This window comes from Homo sapiens, chromosome 2 (genome assembly GCF_000001405.40).
Source record: "Homo sapiens chromosome 2, GRCh38.p14 Primary Assembly".
NCBI lineage: Eukaryota > Metazoa > Chordata > Mammalia > Primates > Hominidae > Homo > Homo sapiens.
In genome coordinates this window covers 20149543-20164770 of record NC_000002.12, presented here as the reverse complement: position 1 = coordinate 20164770, position 15228 = coordinate 20149543, and the positions used below count along the sequence as shown (strand labels likewise).

At 42.7% G+C, this 15228-nt stretch overlaps 1 pseudogene, besides 6 other annotated features; it reads left to right on the top strand.

Annotated features, from left to right (window-relative positions):
- Nucleotides 32–532: an enhancer, noted in NCBI's record as "H3K4me1 hESC enhancer chr2:20364000-20364500 (GRCh37/hg19 assembly coordinates)". NCBI's record gives its function as "activates a minimal SCP1, AML or CMV promoter by ChIP-STARR-seq in naive H9 embryonic stem cells {active_cell/tissue: H9 hESC(naive)}" and the evidence as "EXISTENCE:reporter gene assay evidence [ECO:0000049][PMID:30033119]".
- Nucleotides 7112–7201: a silencer, noted in NCBI's record as "silent region_11198". NCBI's record gives its function as "represses an Ori minimal core promoter by ATAC-STARR-seq in GM12878 lymphoblastoid cells {active_cell/tissue: GM12878}" and the evidence as "EXISTENCE:reporter gene assay evidence [ECO:0000049][PMID:35858748]".
- Nucleotides 8660–9198, top strand: RPS16P2 (ribosomal protein S16 pseudogene 2; annotated as a pseudogene).
- Nucleotides 13129–13258: an enhancer, noted in NCBI's record as "active region_15380". NCBI's record gives its function as "activates an Ori minimal core promoter by ATAC-STARR-seq in GM12878 lymphoblastoid cells {active_cell/tissue: GM12878}" and the evidence as "EXISTENCE:reporter gene assay evidence [ECO:0000049][PMID:35858748]".
- Nucleotides 13409–13598: an enhancer, noted in NCBI's record as "active region_15379". NCBI's record gives its function as "activates an Ori minimal core promoter by ATAC-STARR-seq in GM12878 lymphoblastoid cells {active_cell/tissue: GM12878}" and the evidence as "EXISTENCE:reporter gene assay evidence [ECO:0000049][PMID:35858748]".
- Nucleotides 14182–14331: an enhancer, noted in NCBI's record as "active region_15378". NCBI's record gives its function as "activates an Ori minimal core promoter by ATAC-STARR-seq in GM12878 lymphoblastoid cells {active_cell/tissue: GM12878}" and the evidence as "EXISTENCE:reporter gene assay evidence [ECO:0000049][PMID:35858748]".
- Nucleotides 14362–14411: an enhancer, noted in NCBI's record as "active region_15377". NCBI's record gives its function as "activates an Ori minimal core promoter by ATAC-STARR-seq in GM12878 lymphoblastoid cells {active_cell/tissue: GM12878}" and the evidence as "EXISTENCE:reporter gene assay evidence [ECO:0000049][PMID:35858748]".

Below are 15228 nucleotides of genomic sequence, written 5' to 3'. Positions count from 1 at the left end.
GTGTGGTGTGTCTGTGGTGTGTGTGCTGTGCGTGTGGTGTGTGTGGTGCGAATGTGTGGTGAGTGTGGTGTGTCTGTGGTGTGTGTGCTGTGAGTGTGGTGTGTGTGAGTATGTAGGGATGGCTCCTTGAGAAGGACCAGGACATCTGCCGCTGTGGCCTGGCAGAGGACCCCTGCTCAGCATGGCCAGGGAGGGTAATGAAAGGAAAAGTGACAAAGCCTGAGTCCCCTTTGCTGGCCAAGCTCCCGCCCTTCTATGGATGGAAGAGGTTTCCTTGGCTGGCTCAGTGCAGATGGGGAGGGAGGTGAAGAGGAGGGCCAGGTTCAGCCTGATATTTGTAAAACCTCTTCCACTGAGTGTCTCTGGGCCCAGGTCCCTGTGGAAAGCCTTCAACATCACGTAGCGAATTCCTGAGTGTTCCTAGCTCCTGTCTGTCTGTCTGTAATACACTTCACTCCCGGGCCACTCTGGTCCCCTCCCCATCACAGCCAGGTGGAAGACAGGACACAGGAAACTGGAGAGTCAAGTGGCAGAGCCAGGGTTGTGGGGAGGGCAGGGGTGTCTAATGTCCCGGCTGGAGGCTGCCCTCAGCATGCTCTGGCCTCCTCGGGAACTTTCACATCCCCTGACCATCTTCTGCCCAAGTCTCTGGTGGGGGATAGGCATCCCGGGTGACATCCCAGGGTCTCTAAGCCACGTCCAATTCTCCCGCATTCCAGGGAAGGCATGAGAAGTAGGGTTGCCTGATAAAACACAGGTCACTCAGTTCCATTTAAATTTTAATTAAATAATAAATACTTTTTTAGGATGAATATGTTCCCAATATTGCATGGGACATACTTATACTTAAAAAATCCTATTGTTTGTCTGAAATTCAAATTAAACTGGGAGTGCACTGATTTTATTTGCTGAATCTGGCAAGCTTCACTTAAAGGGAACGACAGTTATTGTCATGCATCATTGAGAGAGCCCTTTCTATGTTCCAGGTACTGGGCTGAGCCTTTGAGTGTGTTATTTCCATTTACACCTCCCCACACCACTACCCTGAACCCCAAACTTGGATCCTTTGCTTACCACATGTAAGATTTCTGCCTTGTCTTTTGCACACCACCTGTACAATTTCTTATTTCTTTTCTTTAAATCAATTTTCTTTTATATCAGTTACCTTTAGATAAGCTTAAATCCGCTAACTTTTTTTAGACGGAGTCTCGCTCCGTTACCCAGGCTGGAGTGCAGTGGTGCAACGTTGGCTCACTGCACCTCCGCCTCCTGGGTTCAAGCAATTCTTGTGCCTCAGCCTCCCGAGTAGCTGGGATTACAGGCACGTACCACCACGCCCAGCTAATTTTTGTATTTTTAGTATAGACAAGGTTTCACCACATTGGCCAGGCTGGTCTCCAACTCCTGATCTCAAGTGATCTGCCTGCCTTGGCCTCCCAAAGTGCTGGGATTACAGGCATGAGCCACCGCGCCCAACCCAAACCCACTTACCTTTAAAGGAAGTTTTATATTCATTATCACTTGTCATGAATATCTGCAAAATTCAGTACGATGTTATCATTGTATTGCCTTTCGGATGCCCTTTTTGAGGCTGAGGCATTCTGAGGAGGAGACTTTCTCCTTATGTCATCAGGCAAATTTGGGGGAAAAGAAAAAAGGGATGTATTTCTCACTATGTTATTTATCATTGTTTAAAGGTATGGCCATGTACTATATAAAATAATCTATCATACCACCCCAAATCTCCAGTGATGAGCATTCTACAATTTGGGGAACTTGGTAGAATTATTATCCCTATTTTGCAGTTGGGAAAATAGCTATGATCACAAAGCTAAGAAGCTAAATAATCTTCATTAGTACCAAACCCTGAATCTGCATGGTGCAACCGAAATGAGTATTTCAGGCAAAGAAGAGTAGGTGGGATTCCAGCCGTGAGTCTCCTTCTTTCTGAGGAACTCCCTCATCCTGCTTCCCACTGACACCTCTGCAAGATGCTGGCCCCAGGGTACCCATCCTGCCTCGCTTGGCCTCCTCACACAGGCTAGGTCTTTTACTGACACCATGATGAATCCTGAGTGAGATAAGCAAGGAAATAAACAGAGAAGCCAAGGATCACACACATGATAAACTCCCCTAGCTCACTTCTAACCCACAGATGTGATCTACAGCTCTCTTGCTCCTCAGGCTCCCAGACCATCCCACTCCGCACCCCACCTCATGTGCCTCCCAAACCACTGGCCCGACCCCTCAATTCCTGCTCTCTGGCCTGCCTCCCTGTAGAGGGTGTCATTATTCACCCTGGAACCTGAGGGCTGGTCTCCTTCATTCCTGAACCCCTTTGCTGCCCAAGCCAGGAATTTGGTTCTAACCAGTCTCCTCCATACTAATCTCTCACCTTGTCCTCAGGGAATGCTCAGCCACCTGACCCCCATCACCAAACCCATAGTTTAATGACCCTCTAATCTTTTAATGACCATAGCATCCATTTACCAAGTTGGGCTCTGCCTTGGTCACAGAGCCAGGCACTTGTCCCCCTGAAGAGAAAGGCAGACCTTGCCTGTGACAGACAAAGATGAAGCAGCGGGGAAATGGGGCTGTAGTTAGGTCTTCTTGGAGCCTCGCTGGGAGGCCAGGAACTGTCTGCTGGGTCCACACTCTGTAAGCCAAAGGGAGACCCTGCAGCTCCACTGTCTGCACATTCGAGAGCCTTCCCTGGAGTGGAAGCTTTCTGTGCCTGGCACTTGGACCTGGGGGACCCGCATTTGGCCCCAGGCTTCCTTCTCTGAGCTTCAGTCTCTTCTTCCACAAGACAGTTCAAACATTGCTTACCACAGAAGGTTCCTGAGTATCTCATGTGAACAGCTATGTGAAAGGCTGTGTTCCTATATGATAGTGACCAACTTGATATTATATGTTAACAAAATCCTCTGTACAGCACAATTAAAATTCACAAAATATTTAGTACCAGTCCTAAAAAGAAATGCAAGAAACTTACAAAGAAAACAGTAAAACTTAATGATGGACATAAAAGACCTAAATAAAGGGAGATATATATTCTACTACATTGGGAAATTTCAATATTATAAAAATATCCCTTATAAAATTATCTATAAATTTGGCGCAATCCCAACAACCATCTCACTGGAATTCTTCATTAAAATAGACAGATGATGATTAATATTCACATGGAAAAAATGCATAAGAAAAGACTTTTGAAAAGGAAGAACAGTAAAGGGGAACTTATCCTGCCAGATATCAAAACTATTAAAAATGTGGCCAGGCATGGTGGCCCCCACCTGTAATCCCAGCACTTTGGGAGGCCGAGGTGGGCAGATCACTTGAGGCCAGGAGTTTGAGACCAGCCTGGCCAACATAGCAAAACCCTGTCTCTACAAGAAATACAAAAAATTAGCCGGGCATGGTGGTGTGCACCTGTAATCCCAGCTACTCAGGAGGCTGAGGTACAAGGATCACTTAAACCCAGAAGGTGGAGGCTGCAGTGACCCGAGATGCCGCCATGCACTCCAGCCTGGGTGACAGAGCAAGATTCTGTCAAAAAAAAAAGTATTAAAAAGGTAAATTGAGGCACAACAAAATGTTAATAAGTTTATTTGAGTAGACAGAGATTTATGAATTGGGTTCCAAACCAGAAGTGGTTGGGAAGCTTCACTGAGGGACTACAAGAGGGAGGCTTTTATAGGATGAAAAGGGAAGTAAAGCAAAAAAAATTTGATTGGTTGTAGTTATACACTTGCCTTCTTTGGCTTATCCTGTTGGAAACTGTTCCCAGTTATATAAGTTTGTTGGCTGCTTCCGATTAGTTGAGCTTAAATTCTATTTTTCTTTGACATAGGCATTTGGGGCCAGGTATAGTGGCTCACACCTGTAATCCCAGCACTTCAGGAGGCTGAGGCAGGATGATTGCTTGAACCCATGAGATCGAGGCTGCAGTGAGCCAAGATGGCACTACTATACTCCAGCCTGGGCAACAGAGCAAGACCCTGTCTCAAAAAAAAAAAAGTATTTATAAGAAATGGCCCAGGTTAAGTTTCACTCATGTTTACAAATCAAACAAGGTTAAGGTCACTTATCCTAACTGCCTTTGTCTGTGTAGGGATTCTTCAGGTCTGGTCTCCATTTTAATTTACTTTAACAAAACATATTATGAAGTTAGAGAATTAAAAATAATATAGGATTAAATAGACAAATAGACCAAAGTAATAGGATAGTGAGTGCACAAACAGACCCTCGAATATGTAGAAACTTAGTGTATGATACAGTTGGTATTTCAGATGAGTGACAAAACATTCAATTAAATATTTTAGGAGAAACAACTGCAGAAAATGAAAGTCAAGTTTAATTTCTACTTCACACCAGTCATAATAATAAATTCCAGGTTACTTAAAGAACTAAATATATCTTTTTAAACTGCAAAAGAATTAGGATAAAATGTAGGAGATTGTTTTTGTGGTTTTGTGATAAAGCATATGAAGTAAATAATATATACACATACTTTTTTTGAAAAAGAAGAACTAAGTGGGAATTAGTCTACCCAATTCCAAGATGTTATATAGCTATGATAATTAGGACTGTGTGATATTGGTGGAGGGATGGAAGCATAAATCAATGGGAAAGGATGGAAAATCCAGAAATAGACCTACACAGATATGCGCAACCGAGTTTTGAAAAAGATGCAAACGCAATCCAATGGATGAAGGATAGCCTTGTAAACAAATGGTCCTGGAACCACTGAACATCCATAGGTAAAAGTGAACCTTGACCTAGACTCCAGGCTGTATAAAAAAATTAACTCAAAATGAATCACAAACATAAATGTGAAACCTAAAACTACAAAACTTTTAGGAAGAAAATACATGGGAGAAACATTTTTGTGGTTTTGGGCTAGACAGAGTTCTCAGCCTTGACACCAAAAGTATTATCCATAAAAGGAAACATCAATAAATTGGGCTTCATCAAAACTGAAAACTTTTGCTTTGTGAAAGACCCTGTACAGAGAATAAAAAGACAATCTAAAGATTGGGAGAAGATATTTGCAAAACACAGAGGACTAGAGCCTAGAATACATACATTTCTCTCAAAACTGAACAATAAAAAACAAAGAATCGAATTCAAAAATGGGCAAAAGACATGAACAGACATTTAGCCAAAGAGAGTGTACTCCTGGTACTCCTGGTTATAAGCACATGAAAAGATGGTCAACATCCTTAGCCATTAGGAAAGTGCCAAGACAACCACATGAGATATCAACACACATCTATCAAAATGGCTAAAATAAAAAATAGTGACAACATCAAATGCTGACCAGGATATGAAGAAATTGGATCACTTATACTTCGCAGATGGGAATGTAAAATGGCATAGCCACTGGAAAATCATTTGGAAGTTTCTTAAAAAACTAGGTGTGCAACTATCACAAGTCTTAACAATTGTACTTTTCAATGTTTATCCCAGGGATATGAAAACTTATGTTCACACAAAAACTTGTACAAAAATATCTGCAAACTGGAAACAACCCAGATATCCTTCAATGAATGAATGGTTAAGCAAATGGAGTGCAAGCACACCATGGATTACTTCTCAGCAATAAAAGGGAAGAAGCTATCGATACACAAAACCACCTGAATGAATCTTCAGGGCATTATGTTGGCTGAAAAAAAGTCAATCTCAAAAGGTCCCATACAGTTGATTCTATTTATATAACATTCTTGAAATGACAAAATTATAGAAATGGAGAGCAGACTAGTGGTTGCCAGAGTTAAAGAGGGGATGGCAGTGGACAAAGGAGTGGGGGAAAGAGAAGTGGGTGTGGTTCTAAAAGGGCAACACAAGGGCTCTTTGTGGTGGGGAAATCATTCTGTATCTTGACTGTATCAACGTCGAGTCCAATATCAGTGTCCTAGTTGTGATATTCCAAGATGTTACCATTGGGGGAAACCGGATTAAGGGAACATGGATCTTCCTGTATTACTTCTTACAACTGCATGTGAAGCTACAATTATCTCAAAATTAAGACTTTAATTTAAAAAACTACAAAAGAATTAGAAGAAAATATAGGATATTATTTTTATGAATTAGTGATAGGGAAAGCTTGTGCAATAAGGCACTTAATATAAAAGCATTAAGGAAGATATGAATAAATTTAACGACATCAAAGAGTACCATCAACATGACCCAGTGCAGTGGTTCACACCTGTAATCCCAGCACTTTAGGAAGCTGAGAGGGGAGGATTGCTTGAGTCCAGGAGTTGGAGACCAGCCTGGTCAATAGAGTGAGACCCTGTCTCCACAAAAAAAAAAAGCCAGGTGTAGTGGTGCATATGTGTGGTTTCAGCTACTTGAGAGGCTGAAGCGGGAGGATCACTTGAGCCCAGGAGTTTGAGACTACAGTAAGCTGTGATTGCACTACTGTACTCCAGCCTGGGTGACAGAGTGAGACTCTGTCTCTTAAAAAAAAAAAAAGACACCATCAACAAAATTGAAAACTAGCAACCAACTAAAAAAATTGTAATAATTACAATATACAAACAACATTCAAAATATGTAAAAATCTGCTATAAGTCAATATGAAAAAGTAAACAATGCTTAGGAAAACAGGAAAAGAATATGAAAGGAAAAATCACAAGAGGAGAGATTCAAATGGCCAAAAATCTATGGGAAGCTGCAATATCCCTGATAATAAAGGAAATGTAAATTAAAATAATGAAAAAACATTTTTTATTCGACCAGACAAGCAAAATAGTAAGTTTGATTGAATGTAGGGCAGATGAAGATGTGGGCAGTAGTCTCATATTCTGCTGATGGGAGTATCAATTGGTAAAGTCACTTTGGAGGGCAATTTGATAGAATCTATTAAAACTTCTATTTCCCTTATGATCCAGCAAATCTACTTCTTGGTGTACCTCTGGAGAAACAGTCATGTGTGCACGAGGCAGCAGGCAAAGAATCCTTGCTGCAGCTTTCTAGTAAAGAACTGGAAATGACCTAGCTGTCATCACTGGGGAATGGCTGAATAAACTCTGGTGCATCCATTCTGTGGAATACTGAACGTACAGCACACAGGAAAGACACAAAGCAAGTTGCTAAATAATACACAGAGAATGATAGACACCATTAATGTAAGCACACACACACACACACAACTTCTGGAGGTAATTTTCATTTTATATGCATAACCACAAACCTCAAATGGTCATGCAACACAGCCGGGTAATTCTAAAATGTTTCTCTACTAAGTTTCTTTTCTCTGTCTAAAATGATTATTTCGTACATTCTCGCTCTTCCCATCCCCCACATCCTCTCCCCACGTCACATCCAGCTGATGACCTTTCTTAACACTTCAACCAAAAAAACCCAGAAGCCCTCAGCCAGGGACAACTGTGCCTCCCACGATGAAATCGCCAATCCTCCTTGAATATGTGCCAACAACAATTTTCCCTCACCCTGCCAACCTCTCAGCCTCCCTCCTGCTCCTTTCAAAGGACAATCCCTTCACCTGCTATCACCTTGCTGAGGACTTTGCTCCTGCAATTATCCTCTCTCTCCTGCATCATTAGATTCCCCCTCCCTACTCTGTCATTCTTGTCAGTACACAAACATGCTCCAGTATTTCCCATATTCAAAAACAAATCTCCTTTCACACATACCTTTCTCACTATGTCTTTGCTCAATGGGGTAGACAGACAACTGTCCACCAAAAATCCACGGCCTCTTTGCACAGTGTAGTGCTGCTGCTGGCAGTGGCTGCCCAGCCAAGGACCACACTTCCTGGCTCCTTTTGCATACTCATGAGAACATGTGACTGAGGTCTGGATAACAGAATGTGGGCAGAAGTGGTGTACGCAACTTCCAGGTATGGCCCATAAAATTCTTCTACACGATCCTCCATATTCTCTTTCCTCTTCTGCCAGGTTGATGTTGACACCTAGGGCAACTAAGGGTGCTGTGTGTTGAAGAAGATGTCTAGGCCATAAGGTAAGTGCTTAGATCCCTGAATAACTGTATGGAGCAGAGCTCTATCCTCACTTCTCCCACTCCTATCACTGATTGGAATTTAAAAGAGAAGAAATAAACTTCTATTTAGTCAAGCTAAATAGATTTTGGTGGTTTATGTGTTACAACATCTGGCCTTATCTTAATTAATACACCATTTATAACAAGATTTCTCAAAAGGGTTGCCTCTATTTCCTGGAGCCAGATCAACCAGTTTTGTCTGGGTTCAAATTCCAGTTTTGTCATTTCCTAATGTGTGTGATCTTGGACAAATTACTTAAAGATCTATTCCTTATCTGTAAAATAGGATAATAATTGTACCTATCTCAAAGGGCTGTTGCACAGATTAATATATGTAAAGCACTTAGATCAGTGTCTGGCACATAGTAAGTTTTATATAAGTTCAGCTATTATTATCATGTTAAGCCACTCACGCCCATTCCAGCTCCCTTCTGTCTCCACCACTCTACTGAAACTGCTCTTGTCAAGATGGGCTCTATGCTGCAAAATGCAAATGTACATTTCTCTTGCCTCGCTTAATTCAACTCTCAGCAGCAACTGACACAGGTGTCCGCTGCCTCATTTAAAAAAGTATCATGGAAGATTGCAAACACACACAAATGTATTTCCTTTTTGAAATAATTTTCTTCCTTTTCTGGTTGCAGCTCTGTGCAGTGAGGATCTCTAATGTATGCCTGTAGCCATGCTGTCCAAGGGCCCACTGCAGTATGCGCAGGTCTTTGGATGCAAGAAAAGGGCCACAGCTGTGGCGCCCGGCAAACACAGCAATGGCCTCATCAAGGTGAATGGGTGGCACCTGGAGATGATCGAGCTGCATATGCTACAATACAAGCTGCTGGAACCACTTCTGCTCTGGGCAAAGAGCGATTTGCTGGTGTGAACATTTGTGTTCATGTGAAGGGTGGTAGTCATGTGGCCCAGATTTGTGCTGTCCATCAGTCCATCTCCAAAGCCCTGGTGGCCTATTACCAGAAATATATGGATGAGGCTTCCAAGAAGGATATCAAAGACACCCTCATCCAGAATGACCAGACCTTGCTGGTAGCTGGCCTCCTTCGCTGTGAGTCCAAAAAGTTTGGAAGCTCTGGTGCCTGTGCTCGCTACTAGAAATCCTACCAATAGGCCAGGCACAGTGGTGCACACCTGTAATCCCAGCACTTTGGGAGGCTGAGGTGGGCGGATCACCTGAGGTCAGGAGTTCGAGACCAGCCTGGCCAACATGGTGAAACCCTGTCTCTACAAAACTACAAAAATTAGCTGAGCCTGATGGCGGGTGCCTGTAATCCTGGCTACTTGGGAGGCTGAGATGGAAGAATCACTTGAATCTGGGAGGTGGAGGTTGCAGCGAGCCAAGATTGTGCTATTGCATTCCAGCCTGGGCAAGAGAGTGAGACTCCATTTCAAAAGAAAGAAAGAAAGAGAGAGAGAGAGAGAGAGAGAAGAAAGAGAGAAAGAAATCCTAGCAATAAGCTCATCACAAGGATCAGGATTAACTTGTATAATAAACGATGTTTGAGGGATTTTTAAGTTTCAAAAAAAAAAGAAAAAAAAGAATTTTCTTCTTGGATGTTATGATTTTTCACTCTCTTCAGCCTCTTCACCCCACTTCTCTGGCCATCCCTTCTCAAGGTCCTCTGCTGGCTCCTCCTGCTCTTCTCAACCTCTAAATGTTGGTATGTCCTGGGCTATATTGAATGTCCTTCTGTAGCCGTATTTCCTTCCTGGATGATCATGAAATATCGTGAGGACTCCCACTGTTCTATATCACATCCCACCTCTTTCTGAGACTCCAAACTCATATATCTCAACTCTCTGACATCTCACCCAGACATCACAAACGTAACAGGTCCAAAACAGAACCTTCTGTTTCAGGGCTGCCCTTTCTTACTCCGCCCATGTCTTCTCTAAACTGGGCAACAGCACTGCCCCACTCAACTGCTCTAGTCAAAAACCCAAGAATCATTATCGGTCCCTTTATTTCCTTTACCCTTTCATCACAACCATCACAAGACCCTAAAGTTCAATTTGAAGCCATTCACTTCTCCCTTCACTCTTGCTGCCCTAATTCAAGCCGTCCCCACCCTACTTTGAATATCTTCAACATTCTCCAAACTCGTCTCTACGTGGAAATCCTAGGAATATTCTAAAAATACAAGTCATTCACATTCACTCTCTTGCTAAAAGTCCTCTAATCTTTTTTTTTTCAGAGATGGGGTCTCACTCTGTTGCTCAGGCTGGAGTGCAGTGGTGGGATCATGGCTCACTGCAGCCTCAACCTCCCAGGCTTCCTGCTCTGTTGTCCAGGCTGGGGCGCAATGGTGCAATCGTAGTTCACTGCAGCCTCAAACTTCTGGGCTCAAGTGATCCTCCTGTCTCAGCCTTCTGAGTAGCTGGGGTTATAGGTGTGCATCACCATGCCTGGCTAATTTTTTAAAATTCTCTTTTTGTAGGGATGGGGACTGGCTATGTTGCCCAGGCTGATCACAAACTCCGAGCCTCTAGCAATCCTCCCACCTTGGCCTCCCAAAGTGTTGGGATTATAAGCACAAGCCACTGCATCTGGCTCTAACATCTTCTAATTGCTTTTAAAATAAAACCCAAATGCCTTCTGTACTCATTCATTCTTGCACTGCTATAAGGAAATGCCTGAGAGTGTGTAATTTACAAAGAGGTTTAATTGTCTCACAGTTCCACAGGCTGTACTGGAAGTATAGTGGCTTCTGCTTCTGGGGAGGCCACAGGAAACTTACAATCATGGCAAAAGGTGAAGGGGGAGCCAGCACTTCTCATGGCCAGAGCAGAAGGAAGAGAGAGGGGGGAAGGTGCCACATACTTTTAAGCAATCAGATCTCATGAGAACTCGTTCACTATCTGTTCATTATCCTGACACAGTACCAAGGGGGGAGTCTGTCCTCATGATCCAGTCATTTTCCACCAGGCCCCACTTCCAACATTGAGGATTACAATTGAACATGAAATTTGGGTGGAATACAGATCCAAACCATATCACCTTCCCTGGTCTCCAGCACTCCGATCTCACTCTCATTCTCCTCCTGTGATCACTGCTGGCCAGGCATTCCAGGATTCTTTCTGCCCTCATACAGGACAAGTTTGTTCCTGCCCCGCTGTTACCTCTGTCTGAACGCTCTTCCTCCAGGTCTTCAGCTGGATGGATGGGTTTAGCTCTCAGTTCAAATGTCTCCTCCCCAGCATGGCCTTCTCTCCCCTCCCCAACAGATCTTTGTATCGTATCATCCTGTTTATTTCCTTAGCAATGCTTTTCACAATCTAGATTTTCTTATTTACTGTTGCATGCATCCTCCCCTCTCCAACTAGAATGTAAATTCCATCAGGGTAAGGACCTTGTCTGTGTTGCTACCTCTGTGTCCCCAGGGCCTATGGCAATGCCTCACTTATAGTAGACATTCAATAAGTATTTGTTGAATGAAGGAAATTCATGCAGATATATGGGGAAAGATCTGGATGAATAAATACCAAACAGATAAGGCCTTATCTCATGGGATCATGCTGGGATTTGCGAATGGAGCTTAAAGTTGACTTTAGCTTAACTGTATTGCTTGAAAAAAAATTTTAATTTTGTGAGGGGTCTATATTCATGTATTGCTTGTGACATTAAAAATAAAGCAAATACTTGTAAGTATTTTGTAAACTGGGAAGTATTATATACAAGAGCAAGGAAATTGCATCAAAGGACACTATCAGGAGAGTGAAAAAACAACCCACAGAATGAAAGAAGACATTTGCAAATCATGTATCTGATAGAAATTAATATTCAGAGCATACAAAGGACTCCTACAACTCAACAACAACAACAAAAAAAACACCTTGCTGGGCATAGTGGCTCACACCTGGAATCCCAGCACTTTGGAAGGCCGAGGCAGGTGGATTGCTTGAGGCCAGGAATTCGATATCAGCCTGGCCAACATGGCGAAGCCTGTCTCTACTAAAAATACAAAAATTAGCCGGGCGTGGTGACACACACCTGCAATCTCAGCTACTCGGGACGCTGAGGCATCAGAATCGCTTTAACCCAGGAGGCAGAAGTTGCAGTGAGCCAAGATTGTGCCACTGCACTCCAGCCTGGGCAACAGAGCGAGACTGTCTCAAAAACAAAAACAAAAACAAAAACAAACACCTCAATTCAAAAACAGTCAAATGGCTTGACTAGACATTTATCCAAAGAAGATATACAGATGGCAATAAGCACATGAAAAGATGCTCAACATAATAAATCATTAAGGAAATGCAAATCAAAACCACAATGAGCTATCACTTCACTTCATTAGAATGGCTATTATTTTAAAATAAAGGGAAATAACTAGTGTTGGTGAACAAGTATAGAAATTAGAACCCTCATGCATTGTTGGTGGGAATTTAAAATGGTGCTGCCACTGTGGAAAATAATTTGGGAATTCCTCAAGAATTGACACATAGGATTGCCATGTGATCCAGCAATTCAACTCCTAGTTATACATGCAAAAGAAGTGAAAGCTGTGATTCAAACAGGTGCGTGTACATCAGCGTTCATTGCAGCATTATTCATAATAGCTAAAATGTAGAACAACCCAAATGTTCATCACAGATAAATAGATAAAATATGATGTGTGTGTATATATATATATATATATATATATACACACACACAATGGAATACTATTCAGCCTTAGAAAGAAATAAAATTCTTTCTTATATTGAATAAAATAAAATTCTTTCTTAAAACACAAGCTACAACGTAGACGAACTTTTAAATAAGATGCTGAATGAAATAAGCGGAACATAAGAGGACAGAGATGGTATGATTTCACTTACATGAGGTCCCTGGAATAGTCAAATTCGTAGAGACAGAAAGTAGAATAAGGTTACCAGGGGCTGGGAGGAGTTATTGTTTAATGGGCATAGGGTTTCAGTTTGGTATGATGAAAATGTTCTAGAAGTGGATAGGATGATGGTTGCACAACTTGTAAATGTACTTAATGACGCTGAATTGTACACTTAAAAATAATTAAAATCATACATTTTATATAATGTATATTTTACCCCTGACCCCACCCCCAACTCCCCACCCAACACACACACACAGAGTGAGGGTATTTATTGTTAGTCTTTCTCCCCGCTATGCATCAGGACCCACCCAGCTTACTAGGGCAGATTACAAAAAAAAAAAAAAAAAATTACCTTGTTTTCAAAGACATCCCCTCCCCCAGCTAGCACCAAAATAGAGGTGAAAATGACATCTGGCTCTAGGAGTGCGTGGGAGTTGGACGACTGGCCGTCTCGGTTCTCAGCAGGCATCAGCCGCCAGCCCCTGCACCCTGCATTCTGCATGCTTTGGGCTGCTGTGGGCTTTGTCCATTTTCAGGAATTCTGGAATATTTGGGGCCTCAGAGGACTCAGGCTACCTCCTATGCCAATCAGCCTGACCATGCCCAAGACAGTCCATGTGTGGGCACAGATGACAAAACTTTTGCCAGCAGATAGGAAGTGACAGGGTGGTCTGTGGGGAATTCATTTGTCAGTTGGCAGCTTGTCCCAGCCCTGTCTCTGGCCTCCACATGTCCAGGTTTTAAGCTTGCCCCATGCAGCTGAGGTTTGCATTGAGATCTGCCAGGCAGTCCCTGCAAATCAAGCCACAAAAAAGAAACAGCCTTTGGCTCCCAAGAAGATTTTACACATCCCTCCAGACTTTCATAGCCTACGTCTTCTGTCTGTCACCATATGCTTTAGGAAACGTATGAAGTGTAAATCAAATTAACCTCATGGAGTGTCCCTTCACTTAACAGAGCATGTGTATTCCATCAGAAATGGCTACAAGGCAATGGACTTTTAAGTGAATCTCATTTCCCCACTGATTTTCATTTTAAAATCAGGAATGTGTTCTTTTGGAGAAAAAACAATTGGCCATCTAGACATGACTTAAAAAAAATCATACTTGAGGATATAGAAGATCTTAACATGTTATGCACACAGAAAAGGGTAAATATTGGATGAAATCTCAGTAAGATTTGCATATTAACAATACTACACTATCAAACAGAAGATGAATCATGGGATGCCACATTTAAGTAAGTCCCACTCATGTGACAAAAAGAATGGAAGTGAGACTGCAGCACAGTGGTAGAAACCCAGGTACAACACCACTGGCCCCTCTTTATCCCCACTGTAAGATCCAGTGGCCCTAAAGCACCAGGAATGTGGCTAAACTACCTACTGACTTGAAGTGCCTTCCTCATCTGTGGATTCCTGACCCATTTTTTTTTCTCAGTTCCTCTAAGTACTTTATTATGAAAATAGCTCAGAAGAAATTGACCTTTTTAAGACTTGCTTGGCCATTTATTCATTCGACCCACACTTATTGCACACCATAATAAGGCCATTCTTGAGAGCATCAAGGTGAGCAAACAGGAATAGTCCTTGCCCTCATGGAGCTTACAGTCTTGGGTCAGGCGTCAGACAAATAATCGCACATACATACATGTATGTACATTTAAAATAAAGAAATAAGTAGGTAAGGAGTAGGAGCGTTTCACAAGGAGGATGTGGCTCAGAGAGGGGTGAACTGAGGAAGCAAGGTATGAACTGAAGTCTGAAATATTCATTCATTTATTCGTCCTCTCAACAGTTGTTTATTGAGTGTTAACTGTGTTCCAGCTATGGGGATACAATGTTGAACCAGCCAGACAAAATCTCTGCCCCATGGAGCCTCCTTCTAATGAAAGTTACTGAGTGGTGCTGGGAAGAGATGCCTTGGGAAGGACAATTAGAGGGAGAGCAATAGCCAAGGGTCTGAGACAGGAAGGAACATGGTGGCCCCGAGGGACAGCCAGGTGCTATTTGGCTGGAGCCCAGAGAGGAAGGGAAAGGCAACTACAAATGAAGCTGGGTAAACAGGGACCCAGACCAGAGCCTTGTGACTTAGGGTGCCGATAATGCAATCACTAGAATGCGTCTGTATTAACAGTTCTGTTCCGAAACATAAAGCTTTGGTTTTATGCCCACTGGTGAACGGTGGCTTGCTGGGCTTCACAAAGCACTGACTGCTCTCAGACGTTATCTGATGGACTGAGTTTTGCTTTCTCATGCGCATGTGTAACAGATGGCAGCAGCCTGGGCAAGCCAGCCACCGCAAGATGGACTCATAGGACACCCGAATTCCTCAACATTTTTTTCTCTGTGATG